The sequence below is a fragment of the Homo sapiens genome, chromosome 5 (assembly GCF_000001405.40).
Source record: "Homo sapiens chromosome 5, GRCh38.p14 Primary Assembly".
Classification (NCBI taxonomy): domain Eukaryota; kingdom Metazoa; phylum Chordata; class Mammalia; order Primates; family Hominidae; genus Homo; species Homo sapiens.
In genome coordinates, this window is record NC_000005.10 from 71490410 (window position 1) to 71516734 (window position 26325).

At 38.0% G+C, this 26325-nt stretch overlaps 1 protein-coding gene across 9 annotated transcripts in view; it reads left to right on the forward strand.

Moving 5' to 3' along the window:
* BDP1 (BDP1 general transcription factor IIIB subunit) overlaps nucleotides 1-26325 on the forward strand; it is a 122638-nt gene that overhangs the window by 34759 nt on the left and 61554 nt on the right. For all 9 annotated transcript variants that reach the window (XM_017009630.2, XM_047417372.1, XM_017009631.2 and 6 more), the window contains exons 11-21: nucleotides 575-722; nucleotides 4841-4999; nucleotides 6861-7017; nucleotides 11153-11244; nucleotides 12190-12382; nucleotides 14212-14342; nucleotides 19056-20742; nucleotides 21832-22019; nucleotides 22776-22998; nucleotides 24535-24713; nucleotides 25652-25862. In XM_017009630.2, the coding sequence (XP_016865119.1) occupies nucleotides 575-722; nucleotides 4841-4999; nucleotides 6861-7017; nucleotides 11153-11244; nucleotides 12190-12382; nucleotides 14212-14342; nucleotides 19056-20742; nucleotides 21832-22019; nucleotides 22776-22998; nucleotides 24535-24713; nucleotides 25652-25862 (3368 nt within the window). The remainder of the gene's footprint in view (nucleotides 1-574; nucleotides 723-4840; nucleotides 5000-6860; nucleotides 7018-11152; nucleotides 11245-12189; nucleotides 12383-14211; nucleotides 14343-19055; nucleotides 20743-21831; nucleotides 22020-22775; nucleotides 22999-24534; nucleotides 24714-25651; nucleotides 25863-26325) is intronic.

Sequence of the window (26325 nt, forward strand, 5' to 3'; positions counted from 1 at the left end):
GCTTAATGATTCACAACCAGGTTTTAGAAATCAAACAGACCTTGCTTTAAATTCCAGCTTTTTTACTTGCTTAAGTATTGCATTGGGAAAGTTACTTAAGATCTCTGAACTCAGGGGGTTCTCTATGAGGTTAATGTTAATATATTTTAATAGGATTGTTTCAAGTATTAAATGAGATAATGCATCTGATGGACTTAAGGGTTCCTGCCGCTTAGTAAGTACTTAATAAATGATAGCTATTACTGTGTTACTAATTAGTATACTTCTGAAGGAGCAAAAGAATAGTTAAGTCAACTTTTAGTTTCCCTACTTGACATATAAAATAAGCCACTTTAAATACTTAGAATTTAAGATAAAAGGAAGATGCTACAAATTGCCCAAGAAGCTTGAGCTGATCCTCATATATGTTAAGTTTTTATTATGGTCTAAAAATAAGATGTGTGCCTTGCAAATAGGGACTTGAATGTTGCTTAAGGTTTTGTAGGAAAAGAGTGTTATAGGTAAATTCCTTTGTGCTCTAAAAAAGATGTTTTTGCTGTCATTTTTTAGAATAACATGCATTTTGTATTTGTAGATAAATGTCAGGCTATAAGGCCTGAGCTAAAGGAAGGTGAATGCAGTAAGGAGCAGATGCTTTCCTGCACACAAAACATAGATGGCATTGTGGGTTTTGCCTCCACTGAAAAAGTTGAGAAAAGAACTGACCCCATCCTTTCATTAAGGTATTTTCTGTGTCTTTTCTGGTTTTATCCACATCTGTTGATTACTGAGAAAGGAGTGTTGAAGTCTCCATCTGTAACTGTGGATTTGCCTGTTTCTTTTTTTCAGTTCTATTTGTTTTTGCTCCATATATTTTGAAGCTCTGTTGTTAGGTGTGTACATATCTAGGATTGTTTTGTCTTGGTGAAATTCCCTTTATCATTATGTACTATCCTTCTGGTATTGCTCTTTTTTTCTGATGTTTACTTTGCTATTGTAGCTTTCTTTTGGTTGGCGTTTGCATGGGTTTATCATTTTCTGTAATGATTTTCTCTATTTTTGGTTTTCGTTAGTTTGAATGTGATGTGTCTTGCTGTGTGTGTGTGTGTTTTTAAATTTTATTTTGTAATATAAAATCATGAGATTTACCCTCAATAGATTTTTTATGTGTACTATACAGTGTTGTTAACTATAAGCACAGTGTTGTATTGCTGATCTCTGGAATTTTTTTTTACCTTGCATAACTGCACCTCTATACCTATTGAACAGCAACTCCTATTTCCTCCGCCTCCCAGCCCTTGGCAATCATGATTCTTTCTTTGTTTTGTTTTGTTTTGTTTTGTTTTTGAGATGGGGTCGGTCTCTGTCACGCAGGCTGGAGTGCAGTGGCACGATCTCAGCTCACTGCAACTTCCACCTCCCAGGCTCAAGCAATCCTCCCATCTCAGCCTCCTGAGAAGCTGGGACCACAGGCATGTACCACCATACCTGGATAATTTCTTGTATTTTTGGTAGAGACAGGGTTTCACCATTTTGCTCAGGCTGGTCTTGAACTGAGCTCAGGTGATCCACCTGCCCTGGCCTCCCAAAGTGCTGGGATTACAGGTGTGAGTCACAGCGCCCAGCCTCATGCAGTATTTTTCTTTCTGTGACTGGCTTATTTCACTTAATGTAATGTCCTCAAGGTTCATCCATGGTGTAGCATATGAGAAGATTTCCTTTTTTATGAGCAAATAATATTCTAGTACATGTATAGACCACATTTTCTTTATGGACATTTAGGTTGTTTTTGTCTGTTGGCATCACTGAACATGGGAGTGCAAATATCTCTTTGAGATCCTGATTTCAGTTCTTGTGGATAAATACCCAGAAGTGGGGTTGCTAGATCATATGGTAGTTCTACTTTTAATTTTTTGAGGACCCTCCATACTGTTTCCAATAGCGGGTACACCATTTTACATAACCACCAACAATGTACAGGGTTCCAGTTTTTTTCACATCTTCTTCAATACTTGTTATCTTTTATTTTATTAATAATGTCCTTCTGAACAGGTAGAAGGTGGTTTCTTATGGTTGTTTTGATTTGCATTTCCCGGATAATTATTGAGTTGAGCATCTTTCATAGCTGTTAGCCATTTGTATATCTTCTTTGGAGACATGTCTATTCAGGTCCTGTGCCCAATTTTTTAATTAGGTTATTTTCTTTTTTGCTATTGAGTTTTGAGAATTATTTATATAGTTTGGATTTTAGGACCTTATCAGAAATATGATTTACACATTTTCTCCCATTCCATAGGTTGCCTTTTCACTCTGCTGTTTCCTTTGGCGTACAGAAGTTTTTTAGTTCAATGTAGTCCCATTTGTCTAATTTTGCTTTTGTTGCCTATACTTTTGGTGTCATATCTAAGAAACTGTTGCCAAAAACAAACTTAAAGCTGTTTACTATTTTTAAGCATACAATTTAGTGGCATTATTTACATTTACATTGTTGTGCAGCCATCAGCACTATTTCTAAAGCTATTTTATCACTGGAAACAGAAAACCTGTACCCATTATGCAGTAATTCCTCATTCTCCCCTCCCTGCAACCACTGATAATCTCTAATCTGCTTTCTGTTTCTCATCCAAGTATTAATCAGGACCAGACTTGCTTAGTTTGAGATCAAATTAGGCTCATTGAGAGCGGTAAGGATGTAGACAACTTTCTGTCTCTATGACTCTGTCTAATCTAGATATTCACATAAGTGGAATCATATGCTATTTCTCATAGTTGTTTGTTCCTAGGTGACAGATAATCTAAAGTGTGAGTTCAGAGATACACCTAATTTCATAAACTACACAAAACTGTACTCGTGACTTTTTCTAATTTTTAAAATAATTAAAAAATGTTGTGACAGGGTCTTACTCTGTTGCTCAGGCTAGAGTGTAGTAGCGTGATCACAGCTCACCACAACCTTGAACTCTTGGGCTCAAATGATTCTATCACCTCAGCATCTCGAGTAGCTGGGACTACAGTCATGGGACACCATGACTGGCTAATTTTAAAAACATTTTTTAGTAGAGATGTTTTCCAGGCTGGTCTCAAACTCCTGGGCTCAAGCAATCCTCGCACCTCAGCATGAGCCACTGTGTCTGGCCCTAGCTTTTTCTAATTTAGGGGAAAAACAACCTTGTAATGACTGTTAAAGTCCCAGTTGGTTTTGGAAAACAAAGAGTTGATTCTAAAATTGTCATGTACACAAGAACAAAGGCTCAAGAATGGTAAAGACAGTTTTAAAAAACACCAACTTTGCAGAGGGACTGTGCTAGTAGACTAATTTTCGAGCTAGAGTAACTAAAGCAGCATGGTATTGGTGTAGGGTTAGATGAATTGACTCAGTGGAACTGAATATAGAGTTTAGGAAGAGACATTTAGGAATCTGTTATATGGCAGAGGTAGCTTTAGAAATTAGCGGGCAAAGATAGAACTAACTTCATTAGATTGAGCTGAGATTTGAAAAACATAATATTTGATCCTTGTGTTACCATATCCGCTAACTTCCTGATGGATTGAAGACTACATGTATAAAACAAATCTTTACAACTTTTAGAAGAAATGTAGAAAAATATCTTTGTAATGTGAAGGCCTCAGGTAAGACATTTCTATTAAGACGTAGAAAACACAGACTTTAAAAGATAAGATTGATAAGTTTGATGGTAGTAAAATTAAATACTTCTGTTAACAAATCCTCCATAAAGAAAATAAAAGGCAAGTTACTGATCGGGAGATTTTATGTGTAATATCTAGACAATAAAAATATATAGAGAACTCTTGCTGATAAGTCAGGAAAACATAAACACCTAGTAGAAAAAATGAACAAGAAAAAAAGAAAAAGGTATGGCTAAATGTGAATATGTGTTGAAATGGTCAGTGCGTGGCTATCAGTTATATTATTGTTAGTTGAAATTTATTTTGTGACAGAGTCTTGCTCTGTCGCCCAGGCTGGAATGCAGTGGTGCAATCTCAGCTCACTGCAGCCTTGACTTCCTGGGCTTAAGCAATCCTCTCACCTCAGCCTTCTGAGTAGCTAGGACTACAGGCACGTGCTACCACACCTGGCTGATATTTGAAATATTTTTTAATATAGTAGTTCTCACTTTGCGTAGGACTATGTTAACTCAACTTGAGCTTATTGGAGCTGTATCTTTGCTTTATTTGACTTTTGGTTACACAGTACCCTGCATAGCAAGGATTGCCTATATAAATTTTAATGAAAGCTAATTCCTAAATATTAGTATTATTTTACGCATGTTTGATTTGTGAACCACATTTAATAATTTCTCATTTTGAAGCCTTTTCTTTTTTTGAAACAGAGCTTTGCTCTGTCACCCAGTCTGGAGTGCAGTGGTGTGATTCCACCTCCCGGGTTCAAGTGATTCTTTTGCCTCAGCCTCCTGAGTAGGTGGGATTATAGGCCTGCACCACCATGCCCAGCTAGTTTTTGTATTTTTAGTAGAGATGGGATTTAACCATGTTGGCCAGGATGTTCCAAACTCCTGGCCTCAAGTGATCTGCCCGCCCTGGCTTCCCAAAGTGCTGGGATTACAGGCGTGAGCCACCTTGTCCGGCCTTCATTTTGAAACTTCTTGAGCATGTTCCTAAGCGTGTAAATTTGTGGCTGCTGCTTTCTCTGGAGGTACAGTTTTTATAACATGATGCAAGATGGATCATAGAAAAGCTAATGTAGCAGTTTGTATTACTCTATAATGTGAAGCAGCATCTTGCAAAATGGTGATTTTGTGTGTTTAACATTTTTAAAAATAATTATAAAATATATATCATTAGGAATTCTTTTCTCTCTGAAATATTTTCTTTTTTTTAGTAATCAACAAGATGCCACATCAGTAGCAACTGAGTCTTCAGAATCAAGCACTTCAGATTTGCCTTCATTCGAAGTTGGAATTAGAGCATTGTGTGAGGTGAATAATGCTGAGGGTAGTTGTATAGAAGAAAGAAATGTTGACCTAAAAAATAATTCACTGTAAGTATTTTATACGATAGGATTTATTTATAAAATTTTGATAAGGTTCTTAAATGATAATAATGTTGCTTCATTTAGGGATTCGAGGGGATTATTAATACATACTTTATTAATAGTAGAGGGAATCATTTAATATGTAATTATACTGTAGTCTGTTCAGAGTGTAACATCAGGTGTTTTACTTTATATTTCTTTGCAGAAAGATTCTCTTTCATATCTGTTATATAATAATGATATGAATTTTAGGAAGGTGGTAACTTACGAAATTCTAAAACAATTTGGAAGCCTAAATATTTGCCATGAGATTTTACTTTTACTTGGTTTGAGTTATTTTTTATGCCTGGTGTCAAAATAATATTTTGATATTGGTGATTTCAAGGAAGTATATCTTCCAGTATGCAGATACTGGTTAAATTAGTATCTTCCCAAGAAACGATTAAAAACATCATAAAAATCTCCCTTTGAAGAGGTATCTGAAAGTTTTATACTTCCTTTTAGTCTTCCTTGTAATTCCTCATCTCATATGGGCTTAAAAGCTATTAATAGTTTATGGGCTGGGCGCAGTGGCTCACACCTGTAATCCCAGCACTTTGGGAGGCCGAGGCGGGCGGATCAGGAGGTCAGGAGATTGAGACCATCCTGGCTAACACAGTGAAACGCTGTCTCTGCTAAAAATACAAAAAATTAGCCGGGTGTGGTGGCATGCACCTGTAGTCCCAGCTACTTGGGAGGCTGAGGCAGGAGAATGGCGTGAACCTGGGAGGTAGAACCTGCAGTGAGCTGAGATCATGCCACTGCACTCCAGCCTGGGCGACAGAGCGAGACTCCATTTCAAAAAAAAAAAAAAAAGAAAGCTATTCAGTTCATAAATTCTTATTTTTCAGTAAAGTACTGTCACAATGGAAATCAAACTTAAAAATGTCAGTCTTTGAAATAGACAATACATTCATAGGGTTCAAACATCGAAAAGTATAAAAAGGTATGATTGAGCTCTCCCTCACACACACATACACATTTAAACATTTATGAATTTTTTTTTTTTTTTTTGAGACAGGGTTGCACTCTGTTGCCCAGGCAGGAGTGCAGTGGTGTGATCATAGCTCATTGCAACCTCAACCTCCCAGGCTTAGGTGATCCTCCCACCTTAGTCTCCCAGGTAGCTGGGACTATAGGTGCTCGCCACCACATCCAGAGACGGAGTCTTGCTCTTGTCACCCAGGCTGGAGTGCAGTGGCACCATCTTGGCTCACTGCAACCCCCGCCTCCCGGGTTCAAGGGATTCACCTGCCTCAGCCTCCCAAGTAGCTGGGACTACAGGCACGTGCCGCCATGCATGGCTAATTATTGTATTTTTAGTAGAAACGGGGTTTCACCATGTTTGCCAGGCTGGTCTCGAACTCCTGACCTCAGGTGATCCACCTGCCTCAGCCTCCCAAAGTGCTGGGATTATAGGCGTGAGCCACTGCGCCCGGCCTTCCCATCATCATTTAATCTTACTTAATATTTCTTACGTTTTATCCTCACTGTATTGTATTGCATTTCATCTTATCCTCCCTATTATGAGTTGCTACCTTCAATATATACCAAAATCATGTCTATTTTGAAGTTATTTTCTGGATTTTAAATTTGTTTCATTTATCTGTTTATTCATATGTTAGTACCACACTGTTTTAATTACTGATGATGAATGGTGTATTTTTAATATCAGATAGAACAAGTTAGTCTCTTTAAGTTTTCTTTGCTACTCTTGTTCTAAGTAAGCTCTTAAAGGAGTTCTTCCTAATTCTCAGTAGGTTATTTTAGAAGTTCATTTGGACATGACTGCATGTTTGATGCTATTTAAATAATGTTAATTTTTCAGGGAAATTGATCAAACAGAAAATGTTAAACCAATGTTGAGAGGTCGCTTCCAAAGACCTAAACCCAATTTGTCAAGGGCTGGGAAGAAATCAGTTCTTTCACAAGGCAAAACAGAGTCAGAGAGCAAGAATTCACATTCAAAAACTTCAGTTGAAAAGGTATGGGGTAAGAGATTTCATGGAAATTAAAATTATAAAAATTTTCTTTAGATAGTTGGGAATAAAAGTTGTTGACTTGAAATTACAAAGTACTGTTACTGATATTAAAACAGATACAAGAACTTACATTAACATTAGATTTGTTCGTATCTTATTAGTCTCCTGTTTACACATTTTCTTTAACCTGGGATGTAATCATTTCAGATATCCTCAGTGGTGATAAATCTGTCTTCTGTTTACTTCTATAAAATTTTTATTTAAAATATTTCATAAACCAGCTATATATTAAATTCTGCCCACAACATTCTCATCTACACACAGGCAGTCTCATTTCTGTTTGTCTTTTACAAACTTTCTGTTTGTTTTTTCTGAGACAGGGTCTTGCTCTATTGCCCAGGCAACAGAGTCCAGGAGTGCAATGGCAGTATTATGGCTCTCTGCAGCCTCGAAATCCTGAGCTCAAGTGATTCTCCCACATCACCCTCCCCAGTAGCTGGGACTACAGGTGTGTGCCACCAAACCCAGATAATTTTTTTTTTTTTTTGAGACGGAGTCTCACTGTCTCCCAGGCTGGAGTGCAGTGGCGTGATCTTGGCTCACTACAAGCTCTGCCTCCCAGGTTCACGCCATTCTCCTGCCTCAGCCTCCTGAGTAGCTGGGACTGCAGGTGCCCACCACCATGCCCGGCTAATTTTTTGTATTTTTAGTAGAGATGGGGTTTCACCGCGTTAGCCAGGATGGTCTCTGTCTCCTGACCTCGTGATCTGCCTGCTTTGGCCTCCCAAAGTGCTGGGATTACAGGCGTGAGCCACCGCACCCGGCCTGATTTTCTGTTTTAAGTTAGCAAAAATTTGGAATGGAGTTTCACTGTGTTCACCAGGCTGGTTTCTAACTCCTGGCCTCAAGTGATTCTCCTGCCTCAGCTTCCCAGTGTGCTGGGGTTATAGGCATGAGCCAGCTCACCTGGTCAATAAATTTCTTTATTCTTTTTCTTTCTTTATTTCTTTTTTTTTTTGAGATGGAGTCTTGCTCTGTTGCCCAGGCTGGAGTGCAGTGGCACGATCTTGGCTCACTGCAGCCTCTGCCTCCCAGGTTCAAGCAATTCTTCTGCCTCAGTCTCCCAAGTAGCTGGGATTACAGGCATCTGCCACCATGCCTGGCTAATTTTTGTATTTTTAGTAGAGACAGGGTTTCACCTTGTTGGCCAGGCTGGTCTCGAACTCCTGACCTCATGTGATCCACCTGCCTCAGCCTCCCAAAGTGCTGGGATTACAGGCGTGAGCCACCACGCCTGCCGTCTTTTTTTTTTTTTTTTGACATAGGATCTCGCCCAGTCGCCCAGGCTGGAGTGCAATGGCATGATCCTGGCTCACTGCAGCCTCTGTCTCCCAGGTTCAAGCTATTCTTGTGCCTCAGCCTCCTAAGTAGCTGGGATTGCAGGCATGCACCACCACGCCCAGCTAATTTTTGTATTTTCAGTTGAGACGAGGTTTTGTCATGTTGGCCAAGCTTGTCTTGAATTCCTGACCTCAAGTGATCCGTGTGCGTTGGCCTCTCAGAATGCTGGGATTACAGGCATGAGGGCACCATGCCTGGCCAATAACTTTATCTATGTATGCACACATTTCTATAATTTTTAACCATAATGTGTATAATGTTTAAAACCTTTTTCTTTTCTTTGTTTTGTTTTTGAGACGGAGTCTCGCCCTGTCGCCCAGGCTGTGGTGCGATGGCGTGATCTCGGCTCACCGCAACCTCTGCCTCCTGGGTTCAAGAGATTCTCCTGCCTCAGCCTTCCAAGTAGCTGAGATTACAGGCGCGCGCCTCTATGCCCAGCCAATTTTTGTATTTTTAGTAGAGACTAGGTTTCACCATATTGAGCCACCGTGCCCTGCCAAAACCTTTTTCAGCTGACCACGGTGGCACACACCTGTAATCCCAGCACTTTGTGAGGCCAAGGCTGGTGGCTTACTTTAGGCCAGGAGTTTGAAACCAGCCTGGCCAACATGGCGAAATCCCATCTCTACTAAAAATACAAAAAAATTAGCTGGGCATTGTGACACATGCTTGTAATCCCAACTACTCGGGAGTTTGAGGCAAAAGAACCACTTGTACCCGGAAGGGAAGAGGTTGCATTGAGCCAAGATTGCACCACTGCACTCCAGCCTGGGCAACAGAGCGAAACTCTGTCTCAAAAAAATAAAAAATTAAAAAAAAACCCTTTTCCTCTGAAACTATTAATTTACATTTTTTTGGGTCCAATTGATCTTTTTAATAGCTGTGTCATGTTAACATGTTATTGATTTACCTAATCAGTTCTCTACTAATGGATGTTCAGATTGTTTCTATTTTTGTTTGTTTTTTTAACTCTTGTACATTAGAAGCAAACAATTTTGTAAGTAAGGCTTTCTCAAGGAAACAAAGTATAAATTTCTAGAGACGGGTGGGATCGTTGGGTCAAATAATGTTTTAAATATTTTTGTGATTCTTGTTATGCATTGTCTTTTGTTATTTGTTATTTTTATTACTTTAAAAAATTTTCTGGTATGTCTGAGTCTCCTGAATTGTTATGCATTGTGAAACTGACAGTCATAAATAATCTATTTACATTGCTAAATGAATCTTTCTGTTTCCTTATAACTTTTCCAGAATTCTATTGTTACCATTTTTTTTAAACTAAAACACTTTTTAAGATGTTGGTTTGCTTCTTTTCCTGTTTTGTGAAATATCTTTTATCATAATCTTTATAGTACAGTTACATTATTCTAATCTTATGTTTATTGAATTGTAGAAAATTTGGAAAATACAGATTCATGTAAAAGTTAAAACAAAAATTACTTGTAATTTTTTTCTTTACCTTTTTTTCTTTGAAGTGTTGTAATCTTGTTTCTTTTTTTTTTTTTTTTTTTTTTTTTTGAGGTTTAGTTTCACTCTTGTTGCCCCAGCTGGAGTGCATGGTGTGATTTCGGCTCACAGCAACCTCCGCCTCCTGGGTTCAGGCGATTCCCCTGCCCTCAGCCTCCTGAGTGGCTGGGATTACAGGCATGCGCCACCATGCCCGGCTAATTTTTTGTATATTTAATAGAAACGGGGTTTCACCATGTTAGCCAGGCTGCTCTCGAACTTCTGACCTCAGGTGGTCCACCTGCCTCAGCCTCCGAAAGTGCTGGGATTACAGGCGTGAGCCACCATGCCCAGCCATTCCTTCTAATACTTGTAATTTCATTATTCCCTTGCAACCAATCTTTTCACATATCTCCTTACAGATTTTCTTTTACACAACTGAATCATGGTTTCAATACAGTTTTGTATCCTTTGGTAATTAACATTTCAGAAATATTTTTCTGAAATATTTAGTGTGATTCCATTTTTCTTAAAAAAAAAAAATGTACATCAGGTGTGGTGGCTCACACCTGTAAGCCCAGCCCTTTGGGAGGCTGAGGCGGGCTAATCACCTGAGCCCAGGAATTTGAAACAAGCCTGGGCAACATGGCAAGATCTGGTCTCTACAAAAAATGAAAAAATTAGCTGGGCATAGTGTGCACCTGTAGTCCCAGCTACTCAGGAGGCTGAGGTGGGAGGATCACCTGAGCCTTGGGGGTCAAGGCTGCAGTGAGCTATGATCATGTCACTGTACTCTAGCCTGGGCGACAGAGCATGACCCTGTCTCAAAAAAAAAAAAAAAATTCTCATCTGCATTTAGGATTTTTAGAAAATCTCCTCTAGTTAGAAGTACAAAAAATGAAGTTCTTATTTATTCATTTATTGAGATGGAGTCTCACTCTGTCACCCAGGCTGGAGTATAGTGGTGTGACCTCGGCTCACTGCAACCTCTACCTTTTGCGTTCAAAGAATTCTCCTGCCTTAGCCTCCCAAGTAACTGGGACTACAGGCACACGCTGCCATGCCTGGCTAATTTTTTGTATTTTAGTAGAGACAGTTTCACCATGTTCCCCAGGCTGGTCTTGAACTCCTGAGCTCAGGCAATCCGCCTGCCTTGGCCTCCCAAAGTGCTAGGATTACAGGCTTGAGCCACCGTGCCCGGCCAGTTCTGTTGTTTTAATTTCCATTTGTTTATTACAAAGTTTGAACTGTTTATTGTAAGTAGATAAATTGTAGCAAATTAAATTCACAGAACCACGTGGAAAAAGATAAAATGAATACATTGGACATTTTGAGAATGGAGACTACAGAGAGAGAGAATCCAGAAGCTGAAACTGTATCTGTGTGAGTATTCAGGAAGTAGTAAAAAAAAAAAAAAAAAAAAGTAACTCTTAGGAATGATGGTAATAATTTGTTTTCTACTTAATAAGGTCTGAATTTAATTTTCAAGCAGCATACTTTAAGTTCGTTTTCAACCATAGGTGGTTTTGAAACATTCATAATACTCTCTCTGCTTGATATTGCTTATATAAATTTTATGAGTCTATTGAGTTAGCCATTACATTTGAATGTTTACAGTATATGCCCCTGGATAATTTTATTTATACTAAGAGATTTTAAAAGGGAATATTTAACTTGAAATAGAAATCTAAAATAGAATGTGAATCTGACTGGTGGATTCTGGGCTCTTCCAGGGGTTACCATTTATACTATGATTTGGGACTAATCCCCTGGAGTTCTACATTATTCTATAGTATCCTTAGTCAGGAGTAGTATTCTATGCTTGGCAGATGTAGATTTTTCCAATTTTGTAATAAAATTCTATTTAAAAGTGCTTTTTCAAGAGGGCTTCCAGGATTATGTCTTTTTTTTTCTCTCTCTTTTTTTTTTTTTTTGAGATGGAATCTCGCTCTGTCACGTAGTGGTGCAGTCTCTGCTCACTGCAACCTCTGCCTCCCGGTTTCAAGCGATTCTTCTGCCTCAGCCTCCCAAGTAGCTGATATTGCAGGCGCCCACCACCACACCTGGCTAATTTTTGTATTTTTAGTAGAGACAGGTTTAACCATGTCGGCCAGGCTGGTCTCGAACTTCTGACCTCAAATGATTCGCCCGCCTCGGCCTCCCAAAGTGCTGGGATTACAGGTGCGAGCCACTGCGCCCGGGCGGATTATGTCTTTTCAGGAAACTTGTGAATTATTTCATATTCCAAATGGTTTACTTATTCATGCCAGGGAGAAGGAAATTGGTGACTTCAAAATAAACATTAATTTTATTTCTTTGTGGTTCTAGTTTGGGTGAAAAAAATTGTCTGCAGGAAGGGAGTCAACTAAAGGCTTTAAGACCTGTACAAGTGAGGGGCCGATTGCAAAAGCCAAAGCCAAATGCAGGTAAAGCTGCTGAAAGAAAAGAAATTCTCATATCACAGGAAGAAATTGGGGCCAATGTAGAGAAGAATGAAAATGAATCCTGTGCTGATAGAGATGTAAGTACTCTGATTCCTCCTCACATTTTTGGTAAGCAAGTACATGAGCCTTAATATAAGCTTCCCTTCACCCACATACTTACATACATACATACATACATTTATTTATTTATTTATGACGGAGTCTTGCTCTGTCGCCCAGGCTGGAATGCAGTGTCGCGATCTTGCCTCACTGCAACCTCTGCCACCCAGGTTCAAGTGATTCTCCTGCCTCAGCCACCTGAGATCGTGCCACCGCACTCCAGCCTAGGCGACAGAGCAAGACTCTGTCTCAAAAAAAAAAAAAAAAAATTCACATGATCTATAATGTTTTTGTATTTTTAGTTGTGCGACTGCAGGCTCACACCACCACGCCTGGCTAATTTTTGTATTTTTAGTAGAGACAGTGTTTTGCCATATTGGCCAGGCTGGTCTCAAACTCCTGACCTCAGGTGATCCACCCGCCTTGGCCTCCCAAAGTGCTAGGATTACAGGCATGAGCCACTGTGCCCAACCCCTTTACCCCCTTTTCAAAACAGTACTGCACAATTTGTGTGCATCATTTATTACATTTTTGGTCAAAATCTCATAGCCAGCAGCTTTGCTAGTTGTAAAGCCATTTTAGATTTTGGGCATTTACATGATAGATAATCTGTTTCACCTGACCTCATATTTGGAGTTGCTTTTCCGTATCACTTAGTGGATGTTTGAATTAATCTTTTGTTTTGAAGAAATAAGTACATATGTGAGTTTTAACATTGGCTTAAACAGCATAAAGTGTTAAAAGCTCCCTAGTAAGATACAATTCCAAGAACAAAGACTGTGAATTTTAGATTATTTACATAGCCTTTGTGATAAAGATAAAAGTTGTCATGTTTTGAGATTTCAATTTCTTATAATTCCCATGGTCTCTAGGCCAGGCATGGTGACTCATGCCTGAAATCCCAGCATTTTGGGAGGCCGAGGTGAGAGGATTGCTTGAGGCCAGGTGTCTGAGACCAGTCTGGGCAACATAGTGACACTCTGTCTCTACAAACAAAAATTTTTTTAATTAGCTGGGCTTGGTGGTGTGCTCCTATAGTCCCAGCTACTTGGGAGGCTGAGGCAGGAGGATCAATTGAGCCCAGGAGTTCAAGCCTCCAGTGAGCTATCTATAATTATGCCGTTGCACTCTAGCGTGGGTGACAGAGTGAGACCCTGTCTTAAAAAAAAAAAATTCTGACCAGGCGCAGTGGCTCATGCCTGTAATCCTAGCACTCTGGGAGGCCGAGGTGGGCGGATCACGAGGTCAGGAGATTGAGACCATCCTGGCTAACACGGTGAAACCCCTTCTCTACTAAAAATACAAAAACGTTAGCTGGGTGTGGTGGTGGACGCCTGTAGTCCTAGCTACTCGGGAGGCTGAGGCAGGAGAATGGCATGAACCTGGGAGGCAGAGCTTGCAGTGAGCCGAGATCATACCACTGCACTCCAGCCTGGGCGACCGAGCAAGACTCCGTCTCAAAAAAAAAAAAAAAGAAAAAAAAATTCCCGTGATCTATAATGCATTTATAGTAATCAAAAGAATTCAGAAAGATAGACCCCACAGGGGTATTTCTAACAGATGAAACCAAGGCAGTTACTTGTTTTTTGATTGGGAGGAAAAGAATGGGGCTTTGAGATATCCTAAAAGGAGTAACTCATGAAATTTTCTAAGATAGCTAAAGAAAAAACATTAAAAGTATTTTAAAGTCTCCATTTTATAATGTTGAATTTTTTACCATTTTATACTTAAATTGGACATTTTCAATGAAATCTGTTATGCCTCATTGTGAAACCTAAAACATTAGAAAAATTTGTTTGTTTTTAAGACTCCTCAACACATGGAAGATCAATCGCGTAAAGATTTTGAAGAGGAAGATGTCATATTACAGCCTGAGAAAAATGATTCTTTTCAAAATGTGCAGCCAGATGAGCCCAAGGTTCTTAATGAATGTCTAAGGTAAGCATCATTTTGTTGATATATAATCTTTGGATTTTGTAAAAAGTTTTAGAACTCAATCAGTTTTTTAAAGCAGAAGCAATTTAGATGGATTTGTTGTCTGCGTGTCTAGTTATGTAGTGTTTAAAAATATAACTTCACCTTTCAAGAAAGTTTATGTTGTAGCCTTTATGTGAATTTCTCAGATGGTTTGAAGAAAGCTACTCATCGTAAATTAGTACTTGAGTTAACATGAATAGCCTTATCACTTTATTTTATTTTATTTTACTTTTTATTTTTTGAGACGGAGTTTCACTCTTCTTGCCTGGGCTGGAGTATAATCTCAGCTCACTGCAACCACTGCTTCCCAGGTTCAAACAATTCTCCTGCCTCAGCCTCCCGAGTAGCTGGGATTACAGGTGCCTGCCACCAAGCCCAGCTAATTTTTGTATTTTTAGTAGAAACAGGGTTTTACCATGTTGGCCAGGCTGGTCTCGAACTCCTGACCTCAAGTGATCCACCTGTCTCGGCCTCCTAAAGTGGTGGGATTACAGGTGTGAGCCATCACACCCAGCCAGCTTTATCACTTAACATGCATATTGAAATATATGTTTATGTTCAAATGTAAAATGCTACTTATTTTTAAAATATTTGTTTCTTTGGAATTAGATTGAGCACATATTGCCTTTATTTAAGATTTATAAATTTTATTTAAAACTTATGTATAGAAACCCATACTGCTTATAGTCAAAGTCTTTTCTATTTTTTATTTCTTCCTTGGAGGGTACCAAGCCAGACTGATGGAATTACTGGTATACTATTTCAACTTTTCAACTTGGAAATGTTTAATGTGCGCAAAAGTGCAGTAGTGGACTCCCATATACCTGCTGTCCAGTTTCAGTAATTAATATTTACCAGTCTTTACGTTTAAAGGCTAGCCTATGCTATACTTTCTTACAGCTGTATTAGCCTATTTAAATAGTACCTAGCTGGGCATGGTGGCTCATGCCTATCTAGCTACATGGAAGGCTGAAGGAAGAGGATTGCTTGAGCCCAGGAATTAGAAGCTGCAGGGAGCTATGAATGGGCCACTTTACTCCAGCCAGGGCAACAAAGTGAGACAGACTCCTGTCCCTCCAAAAAAGAAAAGTACCTAACCTGAGAGTGAAAGCTAGGTTTCCTGAACTACTTTAAAGATCTTCATTGGAAGACAAAAAAATTTCTCTATTTCTTGTTGCCTTCACTATTCCTTTGCTTCTTATTCCTCCCCACTGCCCGGATTATTTTACTAATGTGCACACAGTCTCTAGGTAGAAGTTTGTATGACTACATTGCTTGCTGCATATCTCTGATATGGATTTTAATTACAGTTAGCTAACAAATTATTCTTTTTATTTATATTTTTTCAGTTTAAACTAGAGTCTATTAATAGATACTGTGGCTTGGTAGAAAATTAAACTTTTCTGAATGGCCTCTGGGTTTTAGAACACTGGTGGACACTGTAACTAATACTCAATCTGATCTCAACAACTTTCCTCTCCATGGGCAGTGTCATTTTTGCTTTGTCATGTGACCTTTCTAGCCTTTGAATCTCCAGAATCCTCAAAAGCAATTCTAAGATTCTGTGTTTTATCAAATTATACACCTATGTCTAACAGAAAGTTTTCCCCCTCTCCTACTCCACATATGTTGGCCTGTTCAAGATGCTATGTAAGAGAGATAGTAGGAAAATAGTCTCTCAAAGAATGCATTAAAAATTCTTTAGGCTGGGCATGGTGACTCACACCTATAATCCCAGCACTTTGGGAGGCTGAGACAGGAGGATCACTTGAGGCCAGGAACTCAAGACAAGCCTGGACAACATAGCAAGACCCATCTCTATTAAAGAAAAGGTACTTTATTAGATAAACTAGTGAGTATTTCTTTGAAATTTAATCTTCTAGGTTAATTTTGCATCTTACCTACTTCATATAAATATTTTAAGTTTTTTGTCATGATTGGTGATTTGGTGATGTTTGTTTGGAGGTTTATATATATATATATATATATATTTGAAACACACACACACACACACACACACACACACACACACACCCATATTTTTTTAAAGACAAGGGTCTTGCTCTGTCACCCAGGCTGGAGTGCAGTGGTGTGATCATGGCTTACTGCAGCATTCACCTTTTGGGCTCAATTGATCCTCTTGCCTCAGCCTCCCAAGTAGCTGGGACTACAGGTGCATGCCACCACATCTGGCTAATTTTTAAATTTTTTTGTAGAGACAGGGTTTCGCCATGTTGCCCAGGCTGGTCTTGAACTCCTGGGCTGAAGGGATCCTCCTTCCTTGGCCTCCCAAAGTGCTGGGATTATAGGTGTGAGCCACCACGCCTGGCCATGAATATTTTATAGATTCTTAAACTCCGTGTTTTAGAAAAACACATATGCAGACCTTAAAGCACATTTATAGTTTTGTGCTCATTCCATACCTTATTTTCTCCATTCATGATCCTCTTGTTTTGCCTTTCTTCTCAAATTTGTGATCTGAGGAAAGTTCGTAGATCCACTGTATATTTTAAGTTGAGAAATAATCTAGTTCAATTTTATATCTGATATCCAGTCTCAGATACTGCCCTTCAGTTAATTCTGTACTTCTTTTGTTACTTAGAAACAATCAATCTATTGCTTTGGTGGAATGGCAGTTTAAAAAATCTAAGCACATAGAATATAATTATAACATTGCATATCTGTATCTTACAATCTGAACTGTTATGGAAATAATGAAATTATTAATAAAGCCTTTGCTTCAAGCATTTATATGTTTAAATAATACGCCTGTTTTCAAAATGTGACTTTATAAAGATAGTTTATTTTATCTCTTCCCATGGTACCCAAACCAAGATTGCTAGCACAGTAATCTCACTAAAAGCTAGATGTTTCTGGATGGAGATGAAAAGTATCATAAATCAAAAAATGGAATGCGGTCCATTCAGGACTAATCAAATTAAATTTCCTTTATTGATTGCTGTTAATTTTACATTTAACGTTGTCAATTGCTAAAGTTAATGATGGATATAAACACTTCAGTTATGTAAACAAGTACAATTTGAAAAGCAATCTTATTCCTAAGGACCTGTCTTACAGTATCAAAAATTGCATTATTGAAAACAGTTATTTCAGTGAGGAAGGATAGTATAGGACCTAAAGAAGTTGAAACAAGCAATAGCATACTTTTGTTGTTTTGTTTTTGTTTCTGTTTGAGACAGAGTCTTACTCTGTTGCCCAGGTGGAGTGCAGTGGCATGATCTTGGCTCACTGCAACCTCCGCCCCCTGGGTTCCAGCTATTTTCCTGCTTTAGCCTCCCATGTAGCTGAGATTACAGGCGCGTGCCACCACGCCCTGCTAATTTTTGTATTTTGAGTAGAGACAGGGTTTCATCATGTTGGCCAGGCTGGTCTCAAACTCTTGACCTTAAGTGATCCACCTGTCTCAGCCTTCCAAAATGCTGGGATTACAGGCTGAGCCACCATGCCCAGCCTAGCATACTTTTAAGTAAATCTTTTGCTTATTTGTTTTGTTTTTTGTTTGTTTGTTTTGAGATGGGATCTTGCTCTCTTGCCCAATCTGGAGTGCAGTGGCATGATCATGGCTTACTGCAGCCTCATCCTTCCTGGGCTCAGGTGATCCTCCCACCTCAGCCTCCTGAATAGCTGGGACTACAGGTGCACGCCACCTCACTTGACTAATTTTTTTTTTTTTTGTAGAGATGGGATTTCTACCAAAAACTCATGGGCTCAAGCCATCTGCTTCAGCCTCCTGAAGTGCTAGGAGTACAGGCATGAAGCATCATGCCCAGCTCAATACGTCTTTTTTTAAGCTGTTGAATGTATAGTTATATACCTGTTCAGTCCGACATGGCCGAATACAATCTAGTGTTTCATTTGATCTAGCTTTTGCCCAATATTAATAACTTTTCCTAACCAGTCATTTAAAAGCCCTTTCATTCATTTATATGTTTATTGATTTTACCATCTATTATAATAAACAGAAAGCAAAACAAAAAGTGCTGCTGCTTTTCTGGAGAGCAAGGTGCTTGCTTTGGATAGTGGTTGTGTGCCCAGTAGCATTCAGCAAAGTATTATTGTGTATTTGGTCTGTCCTTTGATTCTTTACTTATGTTATGAAATAACAAGCCTTTAGAGAACTATCTGTATAGGAAATCTCATATAAAATTGGTTTTAAAAGGTGAGGAGGGCAGACCTCATTTGTAGTCCTAAGATTTAATCTTGGTCAAGTCATACTTGTATCCAGGTATTTGAGGTGGTCAGGTCTATTATGGCAAACCATTTGTCTGTATAAAAGATAGAAGGGATGAAGAGGTAGAAATAGCAGACATACATCAATCTAGCTCCAATGCAGAGAACTGGAGAGTCTTTCCCAGTCAGTATTTATAAATGGTAGTGTGAATGACAATTGGAAAGACACTGTTAGGATCAAATAGCTTCTATACTGATTGACCTTACTAGATATATATATATATTTAAACTTATTGCTGTGATTTCAAAAGGTGGGATTTTTTTTCTTTTAATTTTTAAATTTTACCCAGCGATTCCTAGGCCTTCCTTAATTTTTTTGAATTTGAGAGTTTCTGGTGTTTCTGTAGTGATTTCTCAAACATCATCTCTTCAGCAGGCAGTCTGGTTTAAAACTTGATTGTGTGCCCCCTTTTTTTTTTATAGCGTTCAAGAGAATAATAAGGCAAATAAACTTAACCAAGTCCCAATTCTAAGGACTCGATTTCAGAAACCAAAGCCAAATATAGGAAGAGGAACTGGAAGGAGAGAAATTTCCTCAAAGGAAGAGGTACTAGAGAAGATTCTTGTCTCTGGGGAAATGGCGGCAGCATTGAGAGAAACTGTAAGACTAGACACCTCACCAAAGGAGATGGTACCAGCAGAGATTAATACTAAAGAAATGCAGTCAGATTTAAAAGAAACTGGAAGAAGAGCCATTTCTCCCAGGGAGAAGATTCTAGATGTGATTGATGACACCATAGAAATGGAGACAGGTCTGAAAGCAATGGGAAGAGAGATTTGTCTAAGGGAGAAGACGCCAGAGGTGATTGATGCCACTGAGGAAATAGACAAAGATTTGGAAGAAGCTGGAAGAAGAGAAATATCCCCACAGAAAAATGGCCCAGAGGAGGTTAAGCCTCTAGGTGAAGTGGAGACAGATTTGAAAGCAACTGGAAATGAGAGTTCCCCAAGGGAGAAGACACCAGAGGTGACTGATGCCACTGAGGAAATAGACAAAAATTTGGAAGAAACTGGAAGAAGAAAAATATCCCCAAGGGAAAATGGCCCAGAGGAGGTCAAGCCTGTAGATGAAATGGAGACAGATTTGAACGCAACTGGAAGAGAGAGTTCTCCAAGGGAGAAGACACCAGAGGTGATTGATGCTACTGAGGAAATAGATTTGGAAGAAACTGAAAGAGAAGTATCCCCACAGGAAAATGGACTAGAGGAGGTCAAGCCTCTAGGTGAAATGGAGACGGATTTGAAAGCAACTGGAAGAGACAGTTTCCCAAGGGGGAAGACACCAGAGGTGATTGATGCCATTGAGGAAATAGAGATAGATTTGGAAGAAACTGAAAGAGAAATATCCCCACAGGAAAATGGCCTAGAGGAGGTTAAGCCTCTAGGTGAAATGCAAACAGATTTGAAAGCAACCGGAAGGGAGATTTCCCCAAGGGAGAAGACACCAGAGGTGATTGATGCCACTGAGGAAATAGACAAAGATCTGGAAGAAACTGGAAGAAGAGAAATATCCCCAGAGGAAAATGGCCCAGAGGAGGTCAAGCCTGTAGATGAAATGGAGACAGACTTGAAAACAACTGGAAGAGAGGGTTCCTCAAGGGAGAAGACACGAGAGGTGATTGATGCTGCTGAGGTAATAGAGACAGATTTGGAAGAAACTGAAAGAGAAATATCGCCACAGGAAAATGGCCCAGAGGAGGTCAAGCCTGTAGGTAAAATGGAGACAGATTTGAAAGAAATTAGAGAAGAAATTTCCCAAAGGGAAAAGGTGCTAGCAGAGTTCAGTGCTATAAGGGAAAAGGAGATTGATTTGAAAGAAACTGGAAAAAGAGACATTCCCATCATGGAGAAAGTATCAGGAAAGATGGCTGTTGTTGAAGAAATGGAGGCAGATTTGAAAGAAACTGGAAAAGAAAATTTTAGAGAGAGAGGATCTGAAGAGATCTGTGTTACTGAGGAAAAGGTGGCAGAATTGAAACAAACTGGAAAAACAGACATTTCTCCAAGGGAAAACGAGCTAGAGGAGACCAGTACCTCAAGACAAACTGACACACATTTAATGCAGAGCGGTAGCAATGACTTCAGTGCTGTGCCTTCACTAGATATTCAGGTATGTATTTTTCTGTCCTTTAAAAGTTTTTTGAATGCTTTTTTCAGAGGAAATAAATAATTCCATGATTATTTTGTCCTTAAGTCCAACAACACTTAAAAATCTCTAAAAGTCTAAAGTCTTTTGTAGCCCTAAGTTTCTATGTTTCAGTGCCTTGAAGAAACTGTATGTTCTTTTTTAAAAAGATAACTTTAGGCTGGGCACACCTTTAAACCCAACACTTTGGGAGGCCAAGGTGGAAGGATTACTTGAGCCCAGGAGTTTGAGACCAGCCTGGGCAACATAGAGAGACCTTGTCTCTACAAAAAATAAGATAAAATAAAAATAAATAAAATAAATAAAAAATAAAATACAATAACAAGGTGTAAGCCTGTAGTCCCAGCTACTTGGGAGGCTGAGGTGAGAGGATCACTTGAACCCTGGAGGTTGAGGCTGCAGTGAGCTGTGATTGTGCCATTGTACTCCACCCTGGGTGACAGAGTGAGACCCTGTCTCAAAAAGAAATAAAAATAATTTCCAACTGTGAAAAAGTCACTGTTATTATTATTATTTTTTTTCTTTAAGTCAGATGGGCAAGGATCAAACTTTTCTTTTGGCTTAGGTTTGAGATCTCAAAAATGTCACTGTTCTTAATATCATTTGAAGTTACTCTTTTAGGTAAAAGAAGAATAGGAAATTAGACTGAATTTGTACTAACCCTAGCGTGAACACACATTATTTCTTTTGGCCACATCTGTATCTGCTTTTGTTTCTTGCCCCACCTGACTTACTTCACTTCTAAAAGTTCTTTTTGTTTTTTCAAGTTACTTTGAAGTTCATGATCTTCTAACATTTTCAAGGACTTTTTTTTTTTTCTAACTTTTAAAAATAGATAATGACATTTGTGGTTTGGGAAAGTAATAATATGCAACATAAAAGGGTTTCCTGAATTCCAAGTTTTAACATTTGGAAATTAAATTTTATTCAAAAATTAAAAACTTCTAAAGTTTTAAAGGAAAGTGTTTAGAATTTAGTAGACTTTTGTTTTAAATATATAAGATGTTTAAATACTCTTTTATTTGTGCTGATTTACTATGACTGTTCCTCTAGAACATTAGCAGTGAAGTACTGTCGATGATGCATACACCTGTAGAAGAAAAAAGAAATTCTGAAAAAGAAGTATCAAGTCACTTCAGTCATTTCAAGATTTCTTCACAGACTCATGAATCTGATAAAACAGAAGTCCAGGGGATTCAATCTCCAGATGTTCCAGAGCAGTTTTCAGATATTAATTTAAGGTACAAGTGTGTTTTTAAAGAAAAAGATATTAAGTTATAGTTGCAGATTACGTTAAACTAAGTGAGGTTTCAAGATATAACATATACAGGATAGTGTTAGAGCTTTTAAGATAGTTTTGGGAAGACTGGGAGAGAGGATTGAGGTCACTCTGACAGTCAATTGTGAAAGTTACTGACATACAAAATTGTATGTAACAGTCTTAAATCAATACAGGTTTGATAGACTCATATTTTCTTTGTGCAGAGATGGTGTAATTCCTAGGCTCATACCTGGATTGTACCACTCATGGTTTTCAGGATCTGCCAGATAGTTCGATTTGTTTTCCTGTTAAGAATTAGAATTAGGCCAAGTATGGTGGCTCACACCTGTAATCCTAGCAATTTGGGAGGCTGAGGTGGGTGGATCCTTTGAGCCTAGGAGTTTGAGACCAGCCTGGGCAACACGCTGTAGAAACCCCATCTCTATAAAATAAAAAAACAAAAACTAGCTGGGTGTGGTGGCACATGCCTGTAGTCCCAGCTACTTGGGAGGCTCAGATGGGAAGATCACTTGAGCCCGCGGAGGTCAAGGCTGCAGTGAGCTATGATTGTGTCATTGCACTCCAGCCTGGGGGATAGAACAAGACCCTGTCTCCAAAAAAAAAAAAAAAAAAAAAAAAATTAAATGTTTACCGCCAGTCTCTAAGGTTGTACTGAGACTCCGTTTCCACTGCCCCTTCAGTTCATTCTAAAGCTTGATAATCCTTGTTCCAAAAGCAAATCTCTTCCTCAAGAACAGAAGCCACTTGAAATTAAACCAGCACCTTTTGTGAGGAGCCGATTCAAAAGACCAAAACCAAACTTAGCAAGAGCAGCTTTGAAGAGAGAGACTACAGAATCAGAAAAATATATATATGAGAAGAAATCAGAAACCAAGAAAATGGAGACTATTGTGATGCAAGAAAATAATGAACAAACTGATACTCTCCCTTCTCAACATGTGAGTGTATTTGAGATGGAAGTTCTGTGTGGGTGTTTTTTTTTTTTTTTAAGTTATTAGGACTACTAAAAGCACCTGGCATTAAAATTCTACAAATATTTCTGTGTAATTTTTGCTGCATGTGATATTGCTCCCATGCTTAATGTGCCTCATTGTTCCACATAATTTGTGTAAGAATCTCAGATATCTGATAATGGGCAAACGTGTTGTGGGAAAGCGTTCAGGTCTGGGCTCTGGTTCCAGTTCCAGCTATGTGACCATTGATTAAACAATTTTCTTCATAGAAAAAATGACAATAATAGTTTTTTATTTTTTTTATTTTTATTTTTTTGAGATGAAGTCTCACTCTGTTCCCAGGCTGGAGTGCAGTGGCGCGATCTCGGCTCACTGCAACTTCCACCTCCCAGGTTCAAGCGATTCTCCTGCCTCAGCCTCCTGAATGCTGGGACTACAGGCGCGTGCTGCCATGTCCGGCTAATTTTTTTTTTTGTATTTTTAGTAGAGATGGGGTTTCACTATGTTAGCCAGGCTGATCTCGAACTCCTAACCTCGTGATCTGCCTGCTTTGGCCTCCCAAAGTGCTGGGATTACGCTGAGCCGTGGCGCCCAGCGAGAATAATCGTTTTTTATTTCACTCTCTTGTGAAGGTGAAATGAAGAGTTAAAAGCTTGATTTGAGTTAAAGGTGATATTTTATTTACTTTATTAACTTGGTCCATAACAGATTAAGATTGTGTGACATACCATCAAAAAAACATTGAAACGAAATGAATAATTATAAACTGAATGTTTTCCACATTCAGTGGAAGTCCTTCTTAGAATTAAAATTCTTATTTGATGTCTTAAAATAGCTCAGTACTTTACTGTGCATCAACATTTGTACTATTTCTCCTAAGCTTATATTCATAAAAGATAAGTTACATTTGTATTATACTTTCTGATTATAGAAATTTTAATTTGGAAAAATATATGTATTCTAAAAAGTGAGAGTCTTTTATAATGTCACGTCCCTTTCCCCCAAGTTAATCATACAGCAATTTTGAATATATCCACTTACACTTTTTCGTCTTACAGTTATAAAATGATAAAATGGGAAGGTATTTTTATTGTTTTCCAAAATGACATTAATTCTTGCTTTCTGATTTTTCCACTTACAGTATTGTGAGCTTCTTTTTAGATCAGTACAAAGAGATATATCTTCTTTTAAATGATTAGGTACTATTGCATTGTAAAGAAATTAAAATTTATTTATTCCATCCCCTAATGATATATCTGTTTTATTTCTGATTTTTTTGTTTGTCTTTTCCGGTGAGGGAGGTGGTGCTTAAATTGTTACAATAAATATTTTTGTGTGTATATTTCTACTTGTTGAGTATTTATAAGATACATTTCTAGAAGTGGAATTGCTGGGAATTTAGAATTTTGGTATAGACTACCCTATTATTCTTCACGAAGATGATATCAGTTTATACTTGTAAAGTTCTTATTTCCTTATACTTTTAGCAACTGTGAATGAAATTTTTTTTCTGTCTTCTAGGATGAAGCTTCCCTAATGATATCAAGAGAAAAAGACACATTAGGTCACAGGAATGAGGAGGCTGTGATATTGCCATGTACACAGACTGAAAGGAACCTTTCACCTTCAAATTCTTGTGAACCTAAAGAGGAGTCTCAGTCAGCACCAGTCCAGAAAAATGACTCAGTTGTTTCTGTGGGGTAAACAGTGATTTTCTTTGACAATATAAAATAAGAGAGATACTTCTTTTAAATATTTCTAATTTTTATTGAGATATGTTAATGCATTTAAAAAGTGAACATAAAGAATATTGGTTTAATTTTATTGATACAGCAGACTGCCTAAAATATAATATCAGATTGAATTCAACACCTTCTAATGGTTGCCTGCTTATCTGCATTGTCAGCTGCGTAAGAGTGTATACAAAGCAATGCATTTAAAAACTACAAGTTGAGCATCCCTAATAAAAAATTCTGAAATGTGCCACAATTTAAAACTTTTTGAGAGCTGACATGATGCTCAAGAAATGCTCAGTGGAGCATTTTGGATTTTCAAAGTAGGGATGCTCAACTGATAAGTATAATGCAAATATTTCCAAATCTAAAAAAATCTGAAATCTGAAACATTTCTGGTCCTAAGCATTTTGGATAGGGCTACTCAGCTTATATGTATATAAGCTATATATATTCATTAACTTTTAAAAATTAGTATACACATAAGATAAAATTTACCATTTTAACTATTTTTTAATATACAGTGGCATTAAGTGTATTCACATTGTTGTCCCGTTGCCACCACCATTCATCTCTAGACTTTCTTTTTCATCTTCATAAAATGAAACTCTCTACCCATTAAATACTAACTCATTCTCCTCCTCTTCCAGCTCCTGGCAACCACCATTCTATCTGTATATTTAGCTACTTTAGGCATATTATATAAGTTTATTACCTTTTAAGAATTGACATAACTGTTTTCTTTTGTAAAATAAGATGTTTATAATCAGAAAGCAATTTCCCTTTAATGGTACAAAGTATTTTTTAGAGTGTTTATTAGAGGAGATCCAAATTTTACATTTTTACATTAGTTTTCAGCTTTTTACAGTCAAGCGCCCTGCCTTTCTCCCTGTCCCCTTGTTTAGGACTAATAATGTAAACACTTTCCAGCAAGAAATGAAGGAAAGTGTTATCCAAACTGCTCGACAAGTAAGGGGCCGACTTCAGAGACCGAGACCAAATATAAGAAAGACAGGACAGAGGCAAATAGTAGACAAAGGTGAAGCCAAAGGCATAATTAAGGAAGGAAGAACGATATTACCAAAAGATGAAACTGAAAAGAAAGTCTTAACTGTGGTGAGTTATTGTTATGTAATTAAATTTAGCCTTTTAATGCATTTAAAATGTCAAGTTATAGCTCAGACATAGCTTAGAAATACAGGCATCTGACACTTATTCTACTCAATGAATACAGTTTCCAGTTTTGTTTCAGATTTGCTCTTCTGGATTTTTTTTTTAAGTGAAAATAGATTTATTTCTTTTCTAATTAATGAAGCTATTCATCGTAAAATGTTCCATTAGGACAAAATAATATAAATACCGCAAATCTTACTCTGAGATAACCACTGAAAACCTTTTGACATATCTTACTGGATTTATTTCCATGCACACATTATGTGCACACTTATGCAAATTTAAACAATAAAGTCATTACGTACTATAACTTTCTGTTATTCACTGAATACTATGTTAAGTGGCTTTCTGGATCAAGAAATATGTTAGTTACATCATTTTTGCTGTATAACATGCTGTTTTGAGT